General features: G+C 37.5%; 1 protein-coding gene across 14 annotated transcripts in view; it reads right to left on the bottom strand.

Moving 5' to 3' along the window:
• NCOA1 (nuclear receptor coactivator 1) overlaps positions 1–24850 on the bottom strand; it is a 279449-nt gene that overhangs the window by 240527 nt on the left and 14072 nt on the right. The window contains exons 3-4 of one of the 14 annotated variants that reach the window (XM_047446154.1): positions 19096–19207; positions 7713–7847 (exon numbers count right to left, since the gene is read on the bottom strand). The exons of 12 other annotated variants lie outside the window; for them this stretch is intronic. The gene's annotated coding sequence lies outside the window, so the exon portion shown is untranslated. Of the gene's footprint in view, positions 1–7712; positions 7848–19095; positions 22720–24850 lie in introns of those variants that run through there. One more of the 14 variants, XM_047446152.1, reaches the window with a different exon arrangement.

The following is a 24850-nucleotide window of genomic DNA, read 5'->3' as shown; positions in this document are numbered from 1 at the left end:
CACTCTTTCAGATATTCTGCTCACCGACAGCTAAAAGACTTACAAATGTGATGCCAGAAAGATAAGCTACTGTCAACTCTAAACCCGGAAATCTTTGGTTGCAACTCTTTGGATGCACTTTGCAATCTTTAATCTGAATCTATTTAATAAAATGCTATTTCTAAGAAGTAGTAGAGAATTTAGCAATTCACGGTATGTTGTACTGTAAATTTATTTAAAAAAATTGAAAACCACTTTTTTAAAATCTGAAATAGGCTAAAAGTAAAGAATGTCTATATTTTATCACTAGCTAAAATATCTAAGAGTTTAGGTTATATCATTATGCTAAATATGGCTGCTTTTTTATAAAATTAGCAAACATGAGTTTTTATAGCATAACCATCAAGAAAAAAATAGGTAGATAAATTATGCCAGTACTAAAGAGAATATATATCTGACTTCTGTCTCTCAAATATTCTTATGGAGGAAAGTGTTAAAAAGTTAAGCGGTTAAAGGTACTTTCAGGTGAAGGTTAAACTGACAATGCAAACTCTGCCCCAGACCAGGAGCTATGGCTTTTTACCTGTAGCCCATCACTTTAAGAGGCCAAGATGGCAGAAATGCTTGAGGTCAGCAGTTCAAGACCAGCCTGGGCAACACAGCAATACCTTATATCAACAAAATCAATCGATCAATAAATAATTAGCCAAGTATGGTGACACACACCTGTAGTCCTAGCTACTCAGGAGGCCAGGGCGGGAGGATCACTTATGCCCAAGAATTCAAGGCTGAAGTGAGCTAGGATTGTGTCGCTACTCTCTAGTCTGGGCAACAGTGAGAGGTCCTGCCTCTAGAGAAATAAATAACTCTGCCCTAGAAAATGTTGATTAATGACGCAGTATCAACCAATGAACAGAAAAGAACTGTGGTCTGCCTCAGTGCTCAGTCCCAGGTTACCCTGTTAAATATTTTTTTCAATGATTTGTTCTAACAATTCAAAAACTCTTCATCAGGCCGGCACGGTGGCTCATGCCTGTAATCCCAACACTTTGGGAGGCCGAGGCAAACAGATCACGAGGTCAGGAAATTAAGACCATCCTGGCTAACATGGTGAAACCCCGTCTCTACTAAATATACAAAAAATTAGCCAGGCGTGGTGGCGGGCGCCTGTAGTCCCAGCTACCTGGGAGGCTGAGGCAGGAGAATGGCGTGAACCTGGGAGGTGGAGCTTGCAGTGAGCCAATATGGCGCCACTGCACTCCAGCCTGGGCAAGAATGTGAGAGACTGTCTCAAAAAAACAAACAAACAAAACTCTTCATCATATCTGTTGATAACACAAAGCTGAGTAAGCCAGACAATAAATGAAAATTTAAAATGGTAAGTCAGCCAAAGGGTCTAACACTGGGTTAAAAATAAACATAAATTAAGGTGATAAGTACATTAGTACTTGCTGTATTCTTTATATGTTAATAGTTTTATACATTCTTTTGCATCTATTAAATATTTTTAAACTTTTTTTAGGATTTCCACACTCAAAAGAATGAAATTAGCCAGGGGTGGTGGCTCATGCCTGTAATCCCAGCACTTTGGGAGGCTAATATGGGTGGGTCGGTTGAGCTCAGGAGTTTGAGACCAGCCTGGGCAACATGGTGAAACCCCATCTCTACAAAAAAATACAAAAATTAACCGGGTGTGGTGGAACGCACCTGTGGTCCCAGCTACTTGGGAGGCTATGGTGAGAGGATCACTTGAGCCCAAAAGATTGTGGCTGCAGTGAGCCAAGATCAAACCACTGCATTCCAGCCTGGGCAACAAAGCAAGACCTTGTCTCAGAAAAAAAAAAAAAAAAAAGAATGAAATTGGACCCTTATTTGACGCCACAGAAATTAATTCAAATGTAAGACCTGAAACAATAAAGCTCCTAGAAGAAAACACAAGGGAAAGTTTCTTGACAGTGGCCTTGGCAATGATTTCTTAACACAACACACCAAAAGCTCAGGCTATAAAAACAAAAACAAATATATCAAACTAAAAAGCTCCTGCACAGCAAAGAAAACAGCCAACACAATGAAAAGGCAACTTATGGATTGGGAAGAAATATTTGCAAACCATGCTATCTGATAAGGCATTAATATCCAAAATTTATAAAGAACTCATACAACTCAATAGCAAGAAAACATATAACTCAATTAAAAAATGGGCAAAGGACCTCAAAAGACATTTCTCCAAAGACGACATAAAAATGGGCAACAGGTATATGAAAAGGTGTTTTATATCACTAATCACAAGGGAAATGCAAATCAAAACACTATGAGATATCACCTTAAACCAATTAGGATAGCTGTTATTAAAAAGGAAAGAGATAACAAGTGTTGGCAACGGTATGGAGAAAAGGGAACCTTTGTACATTGTTGGTAGGAAATGTGGATTAGTGCAGCCATTATGGAAAATGTTATGGAGGTTCCTAAAGAAATTAAAAATGGAATTACCACATGACTCAGGCAATTCTGCTTCTGGTTATATACACAAAGGAGATTAAATTACCACCTTGTAAAGATATCTGCACTCTCATGTTCATTGCAGCATTATTCACAATAGGTAAGATACAGAAACAAACTAGTCGTCCATTAATCATGAACAAATGAATAAAAAACTGTGGTGTACATATATATACACAGTGGAATATTATGTAAGCCTTAAAAAAGGAGATCCTGCCATTTGCCACAACACGGATGAACCTGGAAGACATTATGCTAAGTAAAATAAGCCAGACACAAAAATAAGAAGATTATATGACCTCACATATGGAATGTTTTAAAAGTCAAATGTACAGAGAGAGAGAATAAAACAGTCATCAGAGGCAAGGGTTGGTGTAGGAAACTGGATGATGTTGGTCAAAAGATACAAAGTAGCAGATATGTAGGATATAAAAGTCTAAAGATCTAATGTACAACATCAGGACTATAATAATAGTATATTTTACTCAGGATTTTTGCTCAAAGAGTAGATAGATGATAGCTGCTCTTACCATGGGGAAACAGTGGTTAACAGTGAGATGATGGATATGTTGATTTGTCTTACTATAGTAACTATTTTACTATATAGTCATTCCTCATATCTGTGGGGGATTAGTTCCCAGACCCCACCCCAGGATACCAAATTATGAGAATGCTCAACTTCCTTATGTAAAATGGTTTGCATATAACCTATGCATATTGTCCTATATACTTGAAATAACCTCAAGACTACTTATACCTAATAAATGTAAACACTATGTAAATAGTTGTTACACTGTATTTTTTTAATCTGTATTATATCTTGTTGTATTACTAAATTTTTTCCCAAATATTTTTGATCTGTGGTTGGTTAAATCCATGGATGCAAAACCCACAGATATAGAGGGCCAACATTACATGTATCTCATAACATCATGTTGTACACCTTAAATATATACAACAGAATTTATTAATTTTTTTTTTTTGAGAAAGGGTCTCGCTCTTGTCACAAAGGCTGCAATGCAATGAGCCTGCACCCAGCCAATAAAATTTATTTTTAAAAACATTTTTCAAAATTGAGGATAAGTAAAGCACAAGAATGAAGAACAGTATGAAGTCTTTCCCCTAGATTATTTCATGGAAATCTCACCACAATCTTAGTAAAAATGATAGCCTATTTTTTTTAAAAAAGGTCGAGACAATAGTCCAAAGACACTTTACTAATAAACGGAGGAACCCAAATATTTCTGCCCCTAAATCCATGGCTCATGTTACTACACCATTTTCTTTTCCATTCTAGAATGAAAACCAATTATGAAAAAAAGTGGTAGAGAGGAAAGAGGAACAGTAAGGGGGAGAAATTTATTAACCTATAGGTTTACATGATCAAAGTAGTTAATGAAAACAAAATGTGGAATAGAGCCATTAAAAAAAAAACTAACTGCAAACTTGGATCACTGTAATCACACTGATTAAACAGACCCATTCTAATCTGAACCACTAGAACCACATCTTACCCATTACATGAGGTTTTGAAATCATAATTTAAAGGAGTTACAAATTAGAGAATATCCATAAGGATTTCCAAAAGAGTCTGAAAACAATGATATCCAAGAAACAATTAGGCCAGGAAAATTTAGCCTGGAAAAGAGAAGCATATAGGAAGACAGAACAGATGTCTGTATTTGATCTTCAAATACAGACATCAAAGCAGTCATCAAGTATCTTAAGCCTGATACACCAAAATGGACACAGACTTGTCCTGTGCAATTTCAGAGAGCAGAACTAGGAGCAATAAGAAGAGAACATAAGGAAGCAGACCTAAGGATGATTATTAGAAATTTCTAACATAAGGTCGGGCTCGGGGGCTCATGCCTGTAATCCCAGCACTTTGGGAGGCTGTGGCGGGCAGATCACTTGAGGCCAGGAGTTTGAGACTAGCTGGCCAACGTGGCAAAACCCCATCTCTACTAAAAATACAAAAAAATTAGCCAGGCATGGTGACGCATGCCTATAATCCCAGCTACCCAGAAGGCCGAGGCAGGAGAATTGCATGAACCCAGGAGGCAGAGGCCGCAGTGAGCCAAAATCGCGCCACTGCCCTCCAGCCTGGGTGACAGAGCAAGACTGTCTCAAAAAAAAAAAAAAAGAACTTTCTAACATAATAAAGACTACAACCTGAAGTAGCTATTTCCACATTACTAAAGATAATCAAGTAGAAGTGAGATCAAATAAATAACCAGTTTCCTTACAAATCTCCGATTCTGCTTTCCTAATCCTTATCCTTAATATGCCACCCTTGTTCTCTGTATCCTTGATTTTATCTGTATGCTAGTCATTTATTATCATTTTATATGCATCTTTCCATAAACTTGACTCACTTTTATCTTTTCCAAATTCAACCTAATCTTTAACTCCACCACTAGTCCCCCAAATTTGGAAAATGAGACTCCACTGAAGAATGAATGAGTTCAGAGCAAGTAAGTGAGAGGTCATTAGATGACAGAATTGAAGAAAAAATGCCTTTACTTCCCCTAAAATGGCCACTGCCTAAAGTACCATCCCTAGTAATTTAATGAAACAATTTGTGTTTTGCAATATTGCACTTTTGTGCACAAGCTCCTCTCCCCTAATTTCACTACCCTCAGATTCTCTAAGGCTCCCCACACCATAGTACCCTGCACTAGCCCTACACTGGCTGCCCAATTTACCATAGTTCTCTGATATCCAAAATTACATTTCTCCCTTCTAATTACAGTTTCCACTCTGTCAGTTCAAAAAATATGAAGTAGGCTGGGTGCAGTGGCTCACACCTGTAATCCCAGCACTTTGGGAGGCCAAGGCAGGTGGATCACCTGAGGTTGGGAGTTCAAGACCAGCGTGGCCAACATGGTGAAACCCCGTCTCTATCAAAATTACCAAAAAATTAGCTGGGCATTGTGGTGGGTACGTGTAATCCCAGCTACTCAGGAGGCTGAGGCAGGAGAATTACTTGAACCCGGGAGGTGGAGGTTGCAGTGAGCTGAGATCGCACCATTGCACTCCAGCCTGGGCAACAATAGTGAAACTCCATCTCAAAAAATATATATATACATACAAGAAGTAGGGGAGGCCAGGCACAGTGGCTCACATAATCTTAGCATTTTGGGAGGCCGAGGCATGAGGATCACTTAAGCCCGGGAGTTCAAGACCAGTGTGGGCAACAGAGTGGGACACCATCTCTACAAAATAATTTAAAAGGCAGCCAGGCATGGTGGTACACATCTGTAGTCCCAGCTACTCAGGAGGCTGAGGTGGGAGGGTTGAGTCCAGGAGGTTGAGGCTTCAGTGAGCCATGATTTGTCACTGCATTCCACCAGCCTGGGCGACAGAGTGCGACCCTGTCTAAAAAACAAAGTAAAATAAAAAGTAAGTAAGTAAAAAAGTAAGTAAAATAAAAAGAAGTTGAAAGGCAATCTGATTTGAACAATTTATAAAAATGATTATAACCTCTTAGCCTAACCGGAAGTATCTGAAAAACATGTATTTGCCTACTCAAATTAATGCTTGATAAACAGAATTTCTGGCAATATAAACTAAAATTTAAAAATCATCAGACAATGGGGATGAAGATATTTTTGTGCAAAGTTTATCATTTGTCATAAAGTTCAAGCTCTGCCTAAAATCAGCTCCCATAAGTGGATTTCTTCACAACTTTTCTCCTTCCTCTAATTTTGGGTCTTCAAATCCTTTAAAAAGCCCAGTTTCTTTTTTTTTTTTTTTTTTTTTTTTTTTTTGAGACAGAGTCCCACTCTGTTGCCAGGCTGGAGTGCCGTGGCACGATCTCGGCTCACTGTACCCTCCACCTCCTGGGTTCAAGCGATTCTCCTGCCTCAGCCTCCCAAGCAGCTGGGACTACAGGCACGCGCCACCACGCCCAGCTGATTTTTGTATTTTCAGTAGAGATGGGGTTTGACCATGTTGGCCAGGATGGTCTCGATCTCTTGACCTCATGATCCGCCCACCTCGGCCTCCGAAAGTGCTGGGATTACAAGCGTGAGCCACCGTGGCTGGCCAAAAAGCCCAGTTTCTTTTTTTTTTTTTTTTTTTTTTTTTGAGACGGAGTCTCACTCTGTCTCCCAGGCTGGAGTACAGTGGCGCAATCTCAGCTCACTGTAAGCTCCATCTCCCGGGTTCACGCCATTCTCCTGCCTCAGCCTCCCGAGTAGCTGGAACTACAGGCACCCACCACCACACCTGGCAATTTTTTTGTATTTTTAGTAGAGACGGGGTTTCACCGTGTTAGCCAGGATGGTCTCGATCTCCTGACCTCGTGATCCACTCGCCTCGGCCTCCCAAAGTGCTGGGATTACAGGCGTGAGCCACTGCTCCCGGCCAAAAGCCCAGTTTCTAACAATGGTACCCATGATGTATGGGGAGAAGGGAGACTCTAATAATAACAATCTATTTAGCAGTTTTTAAAAATAGGTATGATTATTTGTTTTAAAAAGCTGATCGGGGCAGTAAAAACAACTGAGAGAAAGACATCAAGGGAGGACCGAAGGACACAGTCCATGAAGATGTTTTCTGAAATGCATGGATAACCCCAAATGCAAATAATCTACCTACAGATAATTGACTTGACCATACATATAAAAGAGGGTGAAATTACATCGTATTATTTTCAATTAACAAGTAAAATATTTAGAATAATGCCTGATATAAGATAAGCACTCAAAAAGTGCTCACTTCTACAATTATTGGCTTATAATTTCCACTGATTATAGTTTAAGATAATTCTCAATACTCAATCCTCCCTTCTCCTAAGAGTATGAGTACTACAAACTTTAAGACAAATGCAATCTAAATGTATTACCTCTTTCAAATCCTTAAAAGCAAGAATCTTCCTCTAATAATAATGTTGTATTAGATTATGAATTACTAGAAAACATTATAGCTAATAATTAAATTTTTACTTCATCTTTTCCATCGTTGAAAATCTTTAGCCCCCTTCCAATCTATTTTAATATCTGTCCCAAATCATCCCTTGACATACATTTTGATTACTGCATTCTCTTACTCAGTTGTTCTTCCTCCTCCCATTTCTATACCATTGCTAAATCAGGACCTAACCTCCAGCTCTCACAGTTGGGCACTCCGTCTGGTGTACACTCTGGTGTACGCTCTTTGTACCTTTAAAATGCCTTCTAACATGTACCCTTATCAGATACCATTATAATAATTGTTGATATATCTACCTCTACTATAGTTGGAGAGTTCCTTGAGGGCAAGGTCCATATTTTCTTCATTTTTATGAGGCTGGCACACAAAGCTTGAACACTGTAGACTTCTAAATGCTTGCTGAATGAATGACTCTATTCTTTAGGAATAAACTAAATGATAAGAAATTGTTTAATAAATTAGACCACAACTAGATGAAGTGGTGTAGTGTTACTGGATCATCACTATAAAAACTAAGTCATTATGAAAACTCAATAATGAATGTTACAGAAGGTATATACTATGGTGAGTGATTAAGAGAAAATGAGTCAGTCCATGCTACAAAAGCTGTGAGTTCATCCATTCAACAAAGATGTAATGAGAGGCTACTATAAGCCAGGTACTATTCTATTCTGCCCTCATAGAACTTACATTCCATTGGGGAGAGGCAAACAATAAAATATATAATTATATGTTATGTTAGAAGGTACTATGTATGGGGGGCGGGGAGAATAGGGAAGGAAGGGGATTGGAGTGAAGGGGATGAGGATACTAGACAGGATGTCCCACAGCTGACAGAATGGCAATTACCAAAAAGAAAAAAGATAACAAGTTTTGGCAAGGATGTGGAGCAAAGGGAAACCTTATACATTGTTGGTGAGAATGTAAATTGGTACAGCCATTATGAAAAATAGTAGGGAGGTTCCTCAAAAAATTAAAATCAGAGTTATCAAATGATCCAGCAATCCTACTTCTGGGTATACATCAGAGGAAATGAAGTCAGTATATTAAGGAGATCTCCAACTCTCATGTTGACTACAGCATTATTCATAACAGCCAAAATATAAAAACAACCTAAGTATCCAAAGATGGACTAATAGATAAAGAAACTGTGGTATGTGTATGAAATAGTATTTGGCCTTTAAAAAGAAGAAAATCCTGTAAATTGTGACAACATGGATGAACTTGGAGGACTTTATGCCAAGTGAAATAAACCAGACACAGAGGACAAATATTACATGATCTCACTAAATACTTAGAATCTTAAAAAGTTGAACTCATAGAAGCAGAGAATAGAATGATGGTTATCAGAGGCTGAAGACAGGAAGGGGTGGGAATGGGGAGATGTTAGTCAAAGGTTATAAAGTTTCACTTTGACAACATGAATAAATTCTGGAGCTCTATTTTACAGCATGGTAACTATAGCTAATAATAATGCACTGTAAAATTGCTAAGACAATTCTCACCACAAAAACATATGTGAGGTGACCGATATGCTGATCAGCTTAATTTAATCATTTCACAACACATATATATATCAAAATACCATGTTGTATACCATAAGCATGTAACATTTTTATTCATCAATTATACTCTAATAAAGCTGGAGAGAGAGAAAAAATAAACAGGTAGACTTCCTTGATACTCAAGGTAAGATGTGAGCAAAGACCTGAAGGAGTTGAGAGCGTTATGAAGCAAGTATCTGGGGAAAAGAACATCAAAAGCAGGGAGGTCAAAAAAAAAAAGCTAAAGCAAATTCTCCTAAGGCAGGAAGCGGCCTGGAATAGTCAAGGAACAGCAAAGAATGAGCAAGGAAAAAGAACAATAGGAGAGAAGGTCAGAAAGACAACAAGGGCCAGATCATATAGAGCTTTGTAGGACACTACACAGACTTTGACCTTTTCCCATTCACAAGACTTTTTCATTTTATTTTGTTATACTTATAACAGCTTTGAGGCATAATGAACACATAATCAGCTGCATGTGTTTAAAATTTAGTTTTATAAATTTTGACACATGTATACACCAATAAAACCATCACCACAATCCAGATAATGCAATATCCATCACTCTCATAAGTTTCCTTGTGCATCTTATGATCCCTCATTCCCACACTTCCCTGTGCTCAACACAATCTGCAGACAAGCACTGAACTGCACTCTTTCACTATTGATTAAGATGCATGTTCCTGGATTTTAACAAATGGAATCATACAGAATGCACTCTTTTTTGGTTGGCAGCTTTAACTCAAAATAATTATTTTGATATTCATTCAAGTTGTTGGGCATATGGTTATTTCATTTTTATTGATGAGTACTATTCCATTTAATGGATATACCACATCTATCCATTTACCTATTAAGGACGTTTGGATTGTTTCTAATTTGGGAGTATTAAAAATAACATTGCTATAATAAAAACTCATGTTCAAAATGTATATGGACATATGCTTTCATTTATCTTAAGTAAATTGCTTAAGAGTAGAATGGCTGGGTCACATGTTAAGTATATGTTTAACTTTAAAAAAAAATTGTCAAGCTATTTTCCAAAGTAGTGTATGGTTTTACATTCCCACCATAATGTGAGCGTTCCAGTTGCCAACACTTAGTACAGTCAGTCCTTTTAATGTTAGCCATTTTAAAAGGTGTTAGTGATCTCTCATTATGGATTTTATCCACACTTCTGTAATGATTAATTATGTTTATTATCTTTTGATGTGTTCATCCATCATCTGTGTATCTGTTAGTAAACTCTCTGTACAGGTACTTTCCTCACTTTTGAATTAGGTTTTATGTTTCCTTAATATTGAGCTTTGATAACTCTATATATTCTGGAATTAAATCCTTTATAAATGAATTACAAATATTTTTTTCTCAACACATGGCTTGTTCTTTCATACTTTTCAAAAAATACTGCTACTAAATTTTCTGTTTTGGGGGCATCATAGCTCACTGCAGCCTCCAACTTCTGGGCACAAACAATCCTCCCATCTCAGCCTCCCGAGACTATGCCTACTAGTAATTAGGCATGCACCACCTAACCCAGCTAATTTTTTTTTTTTTTTTTTTGTAGAGACAGGGCCTTTGCTGCCCAGGCTGTTCTCAAACTCTTGGCCTCAAACGATCCTCCAGCCTCAGCATCCCAAAGTGCTGGGATTACAGATGTGAGCTACCATGCCCAACCGTGTTTTCTTTTTAATAGTTACAGTGAGATAAGTCATATACCATACAAAAACTTGTACAACTCAATGATTTTTGGTATATTCAAAGATACATGTAACCATCACCATAGTCAATTTTAGAACATATTCATCATCCCAAAAGAAACCCTGTCCCCCAGTCCTTCCAGCCTAGCCCTAAGCAACCAACTAACCTATCTTCTATTTCTATAGAGACCACTCTATAGTGATCTTTTGTGACTGGCTTTTTTCAATTAGCCTAATGTTTTAAAGGTTCATCCATGTTGTAGCACGTATCAGTATTTCATTCCTTTTTATGATTGAATTATAATATTTCATTGTATACATATACATTTTGTTTATCACATATGTGAATGAATCTATTCCAGACTTTCTATTCTGTTCCATCAATCTACTTGTCTGTCTTGAAACCCATACCACCCTATTGTGATTACTATAGTTTTATAATAAGACTTGAAGATAAGTAGTGTAAGTCTTACAACTTTTTTCTTCTTTTTCAAAGTTGTTTTGGCTGTTCTAGGTCCTCTGTATTTCTATATGAATTTTAGAATCAGCTTGTCAACTAGTACCAAAAAATTCCTGCTAGGATTTTGACTGGGATTGCATAGTACACACAGAACACTTGGGGGAAGGTAACATCTTAGTATTTAGTCTTCTGCTGCATAAACACAGTATCTCTCTCCATTTGCTTAGGTTATCTTAATTTCTCTCGGGAACACTTTATAATTTTCAGTGTACAAGTCTTAAACATCTTTTTTTAGATTTATCTCTAAGTACTTCATAGTGCTCGATGTTTTTATACATGGCATTAATTTTTATTTCAAGTTCCAAATGTTCATTGCCAATATACAAAAATACAATTCATGTCTACATATTGATCTTCTATCCTACCTTGTTCAACTCACATATTACTTCTAGTAGCTTTTTTGTAGAATCTATCCGTAGATAATCAATGTCATCTGCAAATAAAAAGTTACTTCTTCCTTGCCAATCTGGATGCCTTTTATTTCTTTTTTTTTTACTTCATCATACAGATTAGAACCTCCAGTATAATGTGGAAGAAAAGTGGTAAGAAGAGATATACTTCCCTTGTCTGTGTTTATGGAGGGAATGCATTTAGTCTTTCGTCATTAAGTATAATGTTAAACCGTAGGTTTTTCATAAATATGCTCCATTTATCAGGTTAAGGAAGCCCTCTTTTTTCTAATTTGCTGAGAATTCTTATCTCTATTTCTAATTTGCTGAATTTTTATCAAATGCTTTTTCTGCATTTATTGAGATGTTCATATTTTTTTCCTTTTTAGTCTGTTAACATGGTAAAATACGTTCATTAATTTTTTAACGTTAAACCAATCTTGCATTCCCAAGGTAACCCCAATCATAATGTATTATACTTTTTATATATTATTGGATTTGACTTGCTAAAATTTTGTTAGGACTTTTAAAATATATGTTCACTCAATAAATGGTTGTTATTACTAGTTATGTTAAATGAGAAACAGAATACAAGAACAAAAACACATAGTAAGAATATCTACACAAAATACATACACTTGTAGACAACTACCAGAAGGAACTATGTAAAAATTAAAAGAGCATAGTGAAATCATGAGGCACATTCCAAAATTCTGATGCTATTACTATATTATCATTTCACTAACTAAAATTCTAAATAATTCCCTTCCTAGTTGTAAATCCTAGCAAATTACCATAATTTTCACTAGAAACACCCAACCATACTATCTCTACCATCCTGTGCCCTAATACAAAGATAAAACAATTTTAAAATGAAAAAGCTAGCAACAACTACGTTCAATGATAAGCACTTCACATGTGTGCTCTGGTGGCTTTGAGTAAAATCTTCCTAAGAACAACCTTGTTTCCAATATTCTAGTTCTAATTGTTTGAGCCAGATAAATAAATACCTGTATGTTAAAGACACGCTTGCTAGGTAAATTAGCCTTCTAGTTTCTGTGAAAGGAAATCTCACAGTGGCAACAACACCCTGTCAGTGTGAAACGGTTCTCGCAGACATAAACCCTGAGAGAGAAACCTCAGCTCCAGATAAGGGAAATCCAAGAAGGGCCTGGCTGTGAGAAAATGCAATGTGTACTCCAGGTACAAATGAAATGCACTTGCTCAGAGGAGAAAGTCGGTACACACTGGGTCTTGGAAAAGGGTGGTGGTGTGCAAACAGAACAGCAGTGACAAGCAGAAGAGATTCCACACAGAACGGAAGGAGAGAGAAACTGAAGGAAAAAAAGGAAGACACTCACAGCAGAAAATATAGTATAAAAAATACAAACTCAATTCTCTACAAGAACCAAAGTAATCAAAATCAATAAATAAATAAAAAATAAGTGTGTAAATGGGGCAACTTTAAACCAATAGGAAAACATGGGGCCTAGACCTAACGGAAGAGATTATGCACTAGCCTTAAAGCATTCAAATTCAAGATACAGTAAAATACTGGGTAGTCTAAACAAAATGGGGTGTGTGTGTGTGTGTGTGTGTGTGCGCGCGTGTGTATATATATACGTATATGTGTATATATACGTATATATACTTGTATATATACGTATATATATACACACGCGCGCACACACACATGCACATATATATGTGGTTGAAGGGGGAGCACAGGAAAAAACACTGGTATATAAAGATATATTTTTAAAATGAAAAAAAAAAAAAAAGAAAGCTGGATAGAAATAGGAAAGTACATTGGAATGAAGGCCAGAGAGGCAACTTCACAGCAATGGGAGTAACAGAGGTATAAGAGAGAAAGTGAGAAAGATGATACTAATACATGGGAGAGGAGAGAAAAGGGTCAGGTATCAGACTGAGAATTGAAGGGGGATTAAACCAAGTTAAAAAAATTCTTAATCTGTATTAATATATTCATTGACATTTCATTAGTGTGGCCATTAGCTTGGATCAGTTAACAGCAGTGACATAATGTCACTGCGTAATGACACAATGTAATGAACTTTTATCTTTGCTCCTCCCCTCAATTAAAAAAAAAAGGCGGGCCGGGCACGGTGGCTCATGCCTGTAATCCCAGCACTTTGGGAGGCCGAGGCTAGCAGATCATGAGATCAGGAGATCGAGACCATCCTGGCTAACATGGTGAAACCCCGTCTCTACTAAAAATACAAAAAATTAGCCAGGCGTGGTAGCGGGCGCCTGTAGTCCCAGCTACTCGGGAGGCTGAGGCAGGAGAATGGTGTGAACCTGGGAGGCGGAGCTTGCAGTGGGCCGAGATCGTGCCACTGCACTCCAGCCTGGGCGACAGAGCGAGGCTCCGTCTCAAAAAAAAAAAAAAAAAAAAAAAAGGCAAAACCTATTTATATTCATAAAGAGAAAAAAATTATTTCATAGGTCAGGGTCCATGTCACTTGTGCCTTTATAACATGCAGAGCAAGGCTCAGTCTATTCAGCCTACCAAGCAGCTAGCATACAGGAGTCAAGCCACCAGAGTGACTGCCTGCTGACTGAGCTAAGGCTCTTCCTTAGTAAGAGCTTCTGAGGCACTAACAAAGAGCAGAAGTAGAACTAAAAGAATAACTTCTTTCTTGAAGGAGCTTCACTGAGGGCTTCTGTTTTTTGTTTGTTTTGTTTTTAACTCCTGGTTCTATAAATTATAGACTAGCTTTAGGAAAAAAACTGAATAAAGTTATAAATCTAGACTAACTTTCAGAAGCCCACCAAATTAATAGCTTTTGTTTAGGGATAGTATTACGTATAGGTAGTCATTGCTTACTTTACTTGCTCTACAGGTTTTTTCTCCCTCCTACTTTTTAACATTTCCCCCTAGTTTCCATAATGTTCCAATATTCTTTTCATAACTTTGGACCAATAATTCAATAATGCAAATAAGCAAGCAAGAAAACAAGACAGCCTTCCTCCAAGTAATATAACATGAATCACTCTTAATCACTCAAAATGCCAAAAGTAGAGATAAATTATTAAAAGGTTGCCAAAGGCCGGGCACAGTGACTCACATCTGTAATACCCAGAACTCTAGGAGGCCGTGGCAGGAGGACTGCTTGAGCCCAAGAGTTTTGAGACCAGCCTGGGCAACATAGTGAGAACCCATCTCTAAAAAAAAGTTTTAAAATATTAGCTGGGCATGGTAGTGTGAACCTGTAGTCCCAGCTACTTGGGAGGCTGAGATGGGAGGACTGCTTGAGCCTGGTAGGCGGAGGTTGCAGTGAGCCATGATCGCGCCACTGCACTCCAGCCTGGGTAACAGACCCAGACCCTGTCTCAAAAAAATAATAAAAATGAAAATAAATAAAAGGGTGCCAAAATAAATGACCCCAAAATAAGTTGTTCCTAAATGCACCTTTAGTAATTTAGGAACGCCATACAAAACATGTTTTTAACAAAAAATTTTTGAAAACAAAAATAATCTTTTTTAGATAAGTTCTTTCTCAATGCTAAATTAGATTAAACAACTTTGGTAACTTATTCCAATGCCTGGAGTCCAAGCAAAGGTCACAGATTGATAAGCACTCTTCTGGCTCACACACTTGCTTCTTAATCCAATGAATCCGTACCATCTCTGTCTTTAAGCTATGGATAACTAATGTAACTTTATTAATTCTGCATATTCACCTAACATTCATTATACTACACTTAATATTTACTTTGCATTAAATTATCCTAGATGTCTTTAACATCAAAATCTTAAGCCATATAAATTTATCTATTTATACGTTTACTTTTTTTTCTTGTTTTTTTTGAGACACTCTGCCCTGTCACCCAGGCTGGAGCACAGTGGCACAATCACCACTCACTGCAGTCTCGACCTCCCAAGCTTAAGCGATCCTCCCACCTCAGAGGCACACCAACACAATCGGCTAGTTTTCGTATTTTTGTAGATATGGAGTTTCCCCATGTTGCCCAGGCTGGTCTCAAACCCCTGGGCTCAAGTGGTCCGCCTGCCTCAGTCTCCCAAAGTGCTAAGATTACGGTTGTGAGCTACCACACCTGGTCCTATATTCACATTTTATTACAGATTATCCTATGCTTATTTTATTAATCTCTTAATAATATTTATTTTAAGTCACAATTGCCAGATACTCACTTTACTTGCTCACATAGAGCTTAATCGAGTAATATATAGGTAATGAAGACTATTACCAATGCTTATGTGACTCAGAGATAAAAAAATTTTGCTATTTTTCTTTTTTTCTTTTTGTTTTTTTCCTTTTTTTTTTTTTTTTTTTTTGAGACAGAGTCTCACTCTGTTGCCCAGGCTGGAGTGCAGTGGCGTGATCTCAGCTCACTGCAACCTCCACCTCCCGGGTTCAAGATTCTCCCACCTCAGCCTCCCGAGTAGCTGGGACTACAGGTGTGTGCCACCACACCCGGCTAATTTTTTGTATTTTTAGTAGAGACAGGGTTTCACAGTGTTAGCCAGGATGGTCTCGATCTCCTGACCTCGTGATCCGCCTGCCTCGGCCTCCCAAAGTGCTGAGATTACAGGCATGAGCCACCGCACCTGGCCTAAAAATTTGCTAGTTTTTAAGTAAACTGGTCAAATGAATTCTGGGTGGCTTTATACCAGAATAAGTTAGTCATAGATCCTGAGCCACACAGTATCAGAAGCCTGTTCATTTGCTAGAATAAATGTTTTCTACACATACCAAGTCCTCCTACAGTTGGCCGGAGAAATTGCTGACCCTAACAGCTGCTAACCATCTAGAACCTTATGAATCCCATTTTAGATAATGCTAAGAAATGAAACACTAGAAATGTTTGAGGAATGTAAAACTCTCACACTCTGACAGTAATGTTTAAATTGGTATATTTTATTAAATAATGTCAAATTATTCTCCAAAGTTGAAGATGCATATACTTTTCAACCAGATTCCAATCCTATACGCAAGCACATATGTACACGTGTGCACGCACACACACACACACATTTTCCTTACAAGCTCTCTATAGAAATGCACATATGTTCACAACCAGTATGTTCAGGAATGTTGACTACAGCATTGTCTAATAATAAAACATGGAAATTACCTAATAACCACCCAGAGGAGCGTGAGTAAGTAAATTGTGATGTAGCCATGAAATAGAAATTGCAGGAAAAAAAGGATGAGAAAAAAAAAGGGTACTGCAAGAGCATATTGCAGTATAGTATGTATCTGAGGTTTAAAACATGCAAAACAATTACATTATATATAGATAACAAATATATTCAGAACAATGTTTCCTCTGGGGAATGTGGAAGGGGTAAAAGAAAGAGGGTACAGAGAAGGCTGAACTCCACAATGTTTTACTTCTTTTTTAAAAAATCTGAAATAAGGCAAAATGTTAAGATCTAAGTTGGGCAGAAGGTGCACGGAATGATTTTTCCACTATTCTTTTCTGCATGTTTGAAATATTTCCTATCAATTCAGGATATCAAGACATCTGAACTGGACGGATGCTAACAAATAGCTAATATCTGACTAAGTAAGGCCAGCAAAGAAGTACTTGTGACAGAAGGCTGTTTTCGCAAGCCTTACTTTCATCTGTGTGTGGTAGAGCCATATGCACCCACACACACAAATCATTTCATTTAATCATCCAATACTGCAAAAATGGAGGAATTAACTCCATTCAACAGAAAAGCGAGTTGAGATCAAAGAAACGGTGTTTTGGCTAAGGTTACGCAGCCAAGCAGTCAGAGATGAGTCCAGATCTATAGGTGCAAAGCACATTTCACAACTGTAGTGTTTCAAAGGAACAGGAGATGCACTTAGAAACTCTTGTTAGAGAGGGGTTTCACTGATAACAAACTCAAGATGAGCCCCAAAGATAGCATGGCTTCCATTAACAGCTTAATTCTGGGTTATATGAAAAGGAAAAACAAAAAAACTATCAGTCAATTACACTCTGTACCACGCTGCACCACTCTGCACATAAGTGAAGTTTAATTTTAGACTCTGAGTTTTAAGAGGACCTTGATAAAATGGGTAGTCATTACCAAGGGCAACATTCCAACTGAAAAAAAGAATAAACTTTCTAGCCATTAGAGCTTTTAAAAACTGAACTGAATTGCTTTAGGAATACAAGCATTTCTCCTACTGCACCGGTGGATATAATGCTCTCATTTAATTATAAAACACTGTGGGTTTTGATCCAATCACCAACTCTCTTTAATTTAAACTGCTAAAAGCAAAATAACTTATTAAACCTATTGAGCTCCTAAACCCCTGTTCCTTCTGAAACTTTTTTTATTTATAAAATGATGTTTGAATAGGTAAGACTTCTTAATATAACTATTGTATTATAGTACAACACACTTCAGTGAACTAACCACCTCTAAAACTGTTCAAACAGTTGAAAGCTCTTCTGTCACAGATGCAGAGGGCTCTACTCTAAGAGATTCAACTGCATAATCAATAAACATCCTCCTAACTTTCACATTCTACGATAAGTGCAAAAGTTAGTACAGTTTCGGTACAGCAAATACTTAGCAGGGAGTCGAGGGTGAAACAAATGAAGTGGCAGAATCATATAGTGATTAAAATATTATCAAGCAAGGTGGAAACTGAAAGTGCTACTGATGTATGTATTTGGAATATAATGAGCTTTTGTCCCCACTGTAAAAAAAAATTGGGATCTAACTCATACCATATAGAAAAATTAACTAAAAATATATCAGACCTAAATGTAAGCACTAAAACTCTTAGAAAAAAAAGACATAAATTTTTGTGACCTTGGATTAGACAATGGTTTCTTCAATATGGCACCAAAAGCATAAGAAGGAACAAAATCAATAAATTGGACTTATCAAAATTAGAAATGTTTGTCCCTCAAAGAATAACCACCAAGAAAGTAAAAAGACAAACTACAGGATGGGAGAATATATTTGCAAATCATATATCTGATAAAGGACTTGCATCCAGAATATATAAAGAATTCTTACAATTCAGTACAAAAGACAACACAATTTTAAAATAAGCAAAAGATCTGAAGAGACATTTCTTCAAGGAAAATGTACAAATGGCCAAAAAGCATATGCAAAACTATTCAACATAGTCATTAGGGAAATGCAAATCAACAATTATAGTGAGATGCCACTTCACTGGAGAATGTGGAGAAATCAGAACCCTCATACACTGCTGCTGGGAATGTAAAATGGTGCAGCCACTTTGTAAAACAGTTTTGCCGTTCTCACAATGTTAAACACAATTATCATATGACCCCGCAATTCATATACTCAAGACAAATGAAAACATATGTCCATGCAAAAACTTGTACATGAAAGTTCAGAGAAGCATTATTCATAGTAGTCAAAATGGATTACAGTGGGACATTATTTGGCCATAAAAAGGAATCAAGTACTGATACATGCTACAACATGGATGAACCTCAAAAACATTACACTAAGTGAAAGAAGTCAGACAAAAGGTGAAATATTGTATGATTTCACTTACATGAAATGTACAAAATAGGCAAATCCATAGAGACAGCAAATAGATTAGTGGGTGCCTGTGGCTGAGGAAGGGAGGAATGGGGAGACACTGCTAACAGGCACGGAATTTCTTTCTGAGGAAACAAAAGTTTGATATTACACAATGGTGATGGTTGTACAACTTTGTGAATATACTAAAAGCTGCCAAATTGTACACTTTAACAGGGTGACTTATGGAATATGATTTATATCTCAAGAAAATGGGAAAACTTTGTTGGGAATACCAGAATGAAATACTAGATATTTCACCACAGTAAAGAGAATATGGCAATAAAGTCCCCAGAGTACAAAAAGAACTGCAAGAAGCAAAGTACCAAGAAAATGTGTCCAGGTCAAGCCCTAAGGCTTTCTGATAAACGCATTACCAAAGTTTACCGAAAATATAGTGCACTACCAGAGACAGTGGCTCACGCCTGTAATCCCAACAGTCTGGGATTACGAAGAGGCTGAGGCAGGAGGATCACTTGAAGCCAGGAGTTCAAAACCAGCCTGGGCAACACAGGGAGAACCCATCTTAACAAAAAATTTAAAAATTAGCTAGGCCAGGTAGTGCATGCCTGTAGTCCCAGTTACTTGGGAGGCCAAGATGGGTCACTTGAGCCCAGGAGTTTGAGGCTGCAGTCAGCTATGATCATGCCACTTCACTCCCATCTGGGCAACAGAGCAAGACCCCGTCTCCTTTAAGAAAAAAAGTGCAGCCGGGCGTGGTGGCTCACACCTGTAATCCCAGCACTTTGGGAGGCCAAGGCGGATCACTTAAAGTCAGGAGTTTGAGATCTGCCTGGCCAACATGGTGAAACCCCATCTCTACTAAAATTACAAAAACTTAACTGGGTGTGGTGGCAGATGCCTGTAATCCCAGCTACTGGGGAGGCTGAGGCAGGAGAATCACTTGAACCCGGGTGGCGTAGGTTGCAGTGAGCCAAGATCATGCCATTGCACTCCAGCCTGGGTGACAAGAGTGAAACTCCGTCTCAAAAAAAGTGCACAGTCCTACACTCTGCCCCAGGCAGGCAGACCTAAAGGTACCAACCTCACTCCTATTTCTTTCTTAGTCTGTCACACATGCAAATATTAGTGGTAAGTACTTTAATAGTTTTATTCATTATAAAATAGTTCAGACAAATAAAGAGGTACTGAAAATAATTTTAATATACATTATATACCCACTACCCAGCTAAAGAGATAAAATATTATACATTCAATTATAATTTCTCCTACTTTTAACAAATATTTGTCCTTTTAGAAAAAAGAATCTGAACTGTGACTATACTCTTTCTCTCTGTTAAACCCATCTGTACTAAGCCTACATATATGGCAAATGGAGTAAAACCAAGACATCATTGTTCACCCAGGGACTCTCAAGCAACCTCTGACATGCAACATTTACCACCTGTAAAATCTCTATCACTCTCAATTTTAACAAGAGAAGAAAACACTTCCACATTTCAACAGCAATAGTAATAGAAATGAAAGTCAGAAAATGACCACAGGGTTCTTTCCATCCAAACTTTTCACTGTCACTTAGTTATAGGCAAAGCCTCCACCATCCACCTTTCCTCATGAATGGTCATCCCAGCGTACTTCTCACTTTAATATCTATCTTATTTTTCAAGGCATTTTCACAAACAACATCTAATTGACCCCCAAAGTAGATAAGGCAGCTATTTGTATACCCACTTTTACAGATATAGAAGAACAAAGTGATTATGAGCACAAGACTGGAGTCAAGCAAGGGCTTGAACTCCCTGTTTCACTATTTCTTAGCAATGTGGCCTTGGACACTTTAATATTTCTGAACTGCAAAAATAAATATGATAATGTCTGGCTTACAGGATTGTTATAAAGATTAGATTACACAATGTATATAAAGCACTTAGCACATAATCTGGTACAAAACAAGCACTAAGTGAATGTAGCTGCTGCTGTCATTGTTGCTGATTTTGTTGATTACGCAAGATCAAACAGCTCCTACACAGAGGAGCCAAGACTGATACCTAGATCTTCTTGATTCCACACAATATTGCTTCATTCTCAAGTGGTCACACCAGGAGTCCTATTTGTACAAAGCAGACTCTATCATTTCCAGACAATGCCTCCCCATTTTCTTCTAGACAACATGGTGATCACTTTAGGATTTTAAGAAGCAAAAGCCAATAGTGATACCAACAACTGCTAACATCACAAAAGATAACCAGAGATTTTGTGTGTCTCACAATACTATCTATAAAGTTGTCTTGTCCTCCCCCCACCAAAAAAATAACATCTTAATCAAGCTTCTACATCAAACTGTCAATTTACAGGATATAGAGAGGGCAGAGCAACATGTTTAACCAAACTGCAATCCAGACTGTAGGAAATTCTACAGGACAACCACACAGGTTCTTCAAAAGATAAATTACAAAGAAAAAAAAGGGGATGGGGGGAAGAGGGAATCTACAAATTTTAAAAAAGACTTGAGACATTTCATTCATTAAAATTTTTTTGAATTCTCCCCCCAAAAAAGACAGTATCAGCCCCATGTACATCTGCTTGGGGAAGTGATTATGCTAATGACATAACCAGAATATTCAGGAATATTCTAGACTTTGGGACATTCCTTTTTTTTTGTCATTGCAAATAAATTAATGAATGTTCTGGTTTGTAAAAGAAAGGCAACAACAACATATATAGACTTTACTCTGCCTATGCTATAACCTAATATAAAAGTCTTATTCTGAAGACTATTCTTAAGACTATAGGTTCACAAGTTTTTTAAATAAGCCCCCCTTTTCCTTCCCAAATCCACGAGAGATGGCTGGAGCAAAAGTCAAAGAAAAAAATGAGAATAAAAGTCATAACTATGAAATGAAATTTTCACAATTTTCTTTTTAATTAAAGCTTAAAAGAAAGCTAACACCATCAATAGGATTAGCTGTCAAATGGAACCTTCCCAGAAGTAACCCAACTATGATATGATTTGAGATATCTTAATAAAAATTATAGCTCCTCCTTGTCATGAGGAAGTAGCTAGCTTAAGGTAAATTAAATGAAAATTAATCTGAAATTTCAATATGAGCACATGCTATAATGAAATTACTTGTTTGTTTCCATATTACTTCAAAAAGGATTTGAGACCGTTCACAGGGTGTATTAGAATTAAAAAGAAAGAAGAAATTGGGCATAGAGAAAATGAAAAGGAAAATAAGATAAAGTCAGAGGTAAGTTTACCACACAAACCATATGCTACAAGGTCCTATACAGTTATAAGAGAAGGAACACACATTTGACTTTGAGTTCCCTTCCTAAGAGAGAAATAACAATCAGTTACAAGTCATGATGACCACGTAATACAAGTGAACCAGCTGGTCAAAGGAAACAGCTTTTCCTGGTACCGAGACGTGGAGAAAAAATTACTACCATAGATTCTAATGATGATGATGAAGATGATAAAAAACAATAGATCTGAAATGTTTCCAACACAAAGAAATGATAAATGTTTGAGGTAATGGATATCCTAAATATCCTGATTTGATAATTATACATTGTATGCATGTATCAAAATATCATAGGCACCCCATAAGTATGTACTATTTATTTTAAACATTAAAAAAAAAAAAAAAAAAAACCCAGCAGCTCACCTTCACTGTATATGTTCTGGACCTGGCATGACCTCAGCATTTTGTATGTGTAAACTCACAAAATTCTCACAACCACCTTGTGGAGACAGGTACTATCATCCCTATTTAACGATGAAAAGGCTGAGGCACCAAGAGGTTAAGTAACACAACAACTAGGCAGTAGCAGAGAGAGCCAGAATTCAAGCTTAGGAAATCTGGCTCCAGAGCCCATACTCCTAACACAGCCCCTCATCCATAAAGCTGTCTCCCTTTGGATATAAGCATTTGCTTCCAGCTAAAGACAGTATTTGCCCATCATATATTAGCTCATTTTATGTTCAGTCTTCGTCCTCCAGATGAGCCGCTAATAGTAACAGTACTACTGTAATAGTAGTAACAACATCAACAAGGACACTGAGATAAAGGAGATAATACCCTCACAAGAATTCTACAAGAGAAGTGCTAAATTTCATAAAGCTGTTTGTTTTAATAGCTCTTAATAAATGTTTATTGCATTACACCAAAGAACAATTCTGTAAAAGCAATTCTATCCCAGTCTAAAACAATGCAATCAACATACTCTCTGGTATTCTGGCCTGGTCCAAGTAAAAACTGATTCTTTCTAAAGCAATGGATTGAAAGTGTTTTATTTAAGCAATTCTCAAAAAATGCTGTTTCTAGGTTTTTTTAATAAAAATCAGGCAGCAGAGTATGTGGATACATACTTGCTAGAGTGAAGCTATGCCATACTGCCAATTATAGGTACTATATATATTTCATAATCAAATGCAATCAGGTGAGTATTCTCTTATGATAATTAAGGAACCTAACCACTAAAGATGTCTAAGTAGGCTGCCAACCCACCTCTCCACGGAAGTGAGCCAAGAAAGTAACGAGCCAAAATTTTCCTCTGAAAATGATTCTGAATCTGCACCAATGGACAGTCAATTGAGTCCCAAAGTTCTATAGCCTTCAATGTCATCACAATGATTTTGACCCCAAAAGTCCTCAAAGCAAGAGTTTCCCAGCATTCAGCTCAGCCATTAAATCACCTGAATAAAGCAGCTATAGAGCATCCAACTGAGACATGTACCCCCAGCTAACTAAATCTTTAGCCAAAGAGAGAAATAACTATCAGTTTCAAAAGTCATGATGACTACATAATACAAGCAAACCAGCTGGTCAAAGGAAACACAGCTTTTCCTGGTACCGAGACCTGGAAAAAAATTTACTACATAGATTCTAATGATGATGATGATGATGATGCCAACAGGGGTCTGGATTAGCAAGGACTCTTTCAGTTACAAACAACAGGAACACTTGCAAACCAGCACAAGCAAATTGGGCAACTGATGAGTTCATTTAACTGGGAAATATTGGGTGGATCTAATACAGAGTGCAACTAGATCCAAAGGCTCCAATGGCTCCCAATGCTCACTCATTCAAGCATGTGAGAGTGAGTGTGTGTGTGAGTGAGTCTGTCTATCTGTCTCCGCCAGCTCTGCTTTACTCTGTATGTTGGCCTCATTCTTTCCTATGGCAGATGGGCTTCCTTCAAGGCACTCTCTACGTTAACTCGGCTTAGCAACTCCAATGGGATGAACCTGTCCTTCATCCAATATGTTTTTCAATCTCAAGGAAGGACTCAACCTGCTCAGGTCATCACACGGCCATCCGGCAGCAACCACTGTGTCCAAGAGAATGAAGTGTTATGACAGACCAAGCCTGAGTCACATGCCCATCCCTTGGGCCAAAGGGAAGGATGCTATGACCTAAAAAAATTAAAAAGAATGGGGGGAGGGGTGTTTACTACACAGCCTAAATTAACAGCTACCATAAAAAAAAGTCTTCAAGACAGAGACTTTCACTTTTTAACTCTATATACTTCCATTTCTTTGAATTTGTTATTAAAATGTCATCATGTATTTTATATGGTTCATTATTTAATTTTAAAAAGGAAAAAATAGCCAAGCACAGTGGCTCACACTTGTAATCCCAGCACTTCGGGAGACCGAGGCAGGTGGATCACCTGAGGTTGAGAGTTCAAGACCAGCCTGACCAACAGGGAGAAACCCCGTCTCTACTAAAAATACAAAATGAACCAGGCATGGTGGCACA

This window comes from Homo sapiens, chromosome 2, assembly GCF_000001405.40.
Source record: "Homo sapiens chromosome 2, GRCh38.p14 Primary Assembly".
NCBI classification, from domain to species: domain Eukaryota; kingdom Metazoa; phylum Chordata; class Mammalia; order Primates; family Hominidae; genus Homo; species Homo sapiens.
This window is presented reverse-complemented; position numbering and strand designations above follow the sequence as displayed.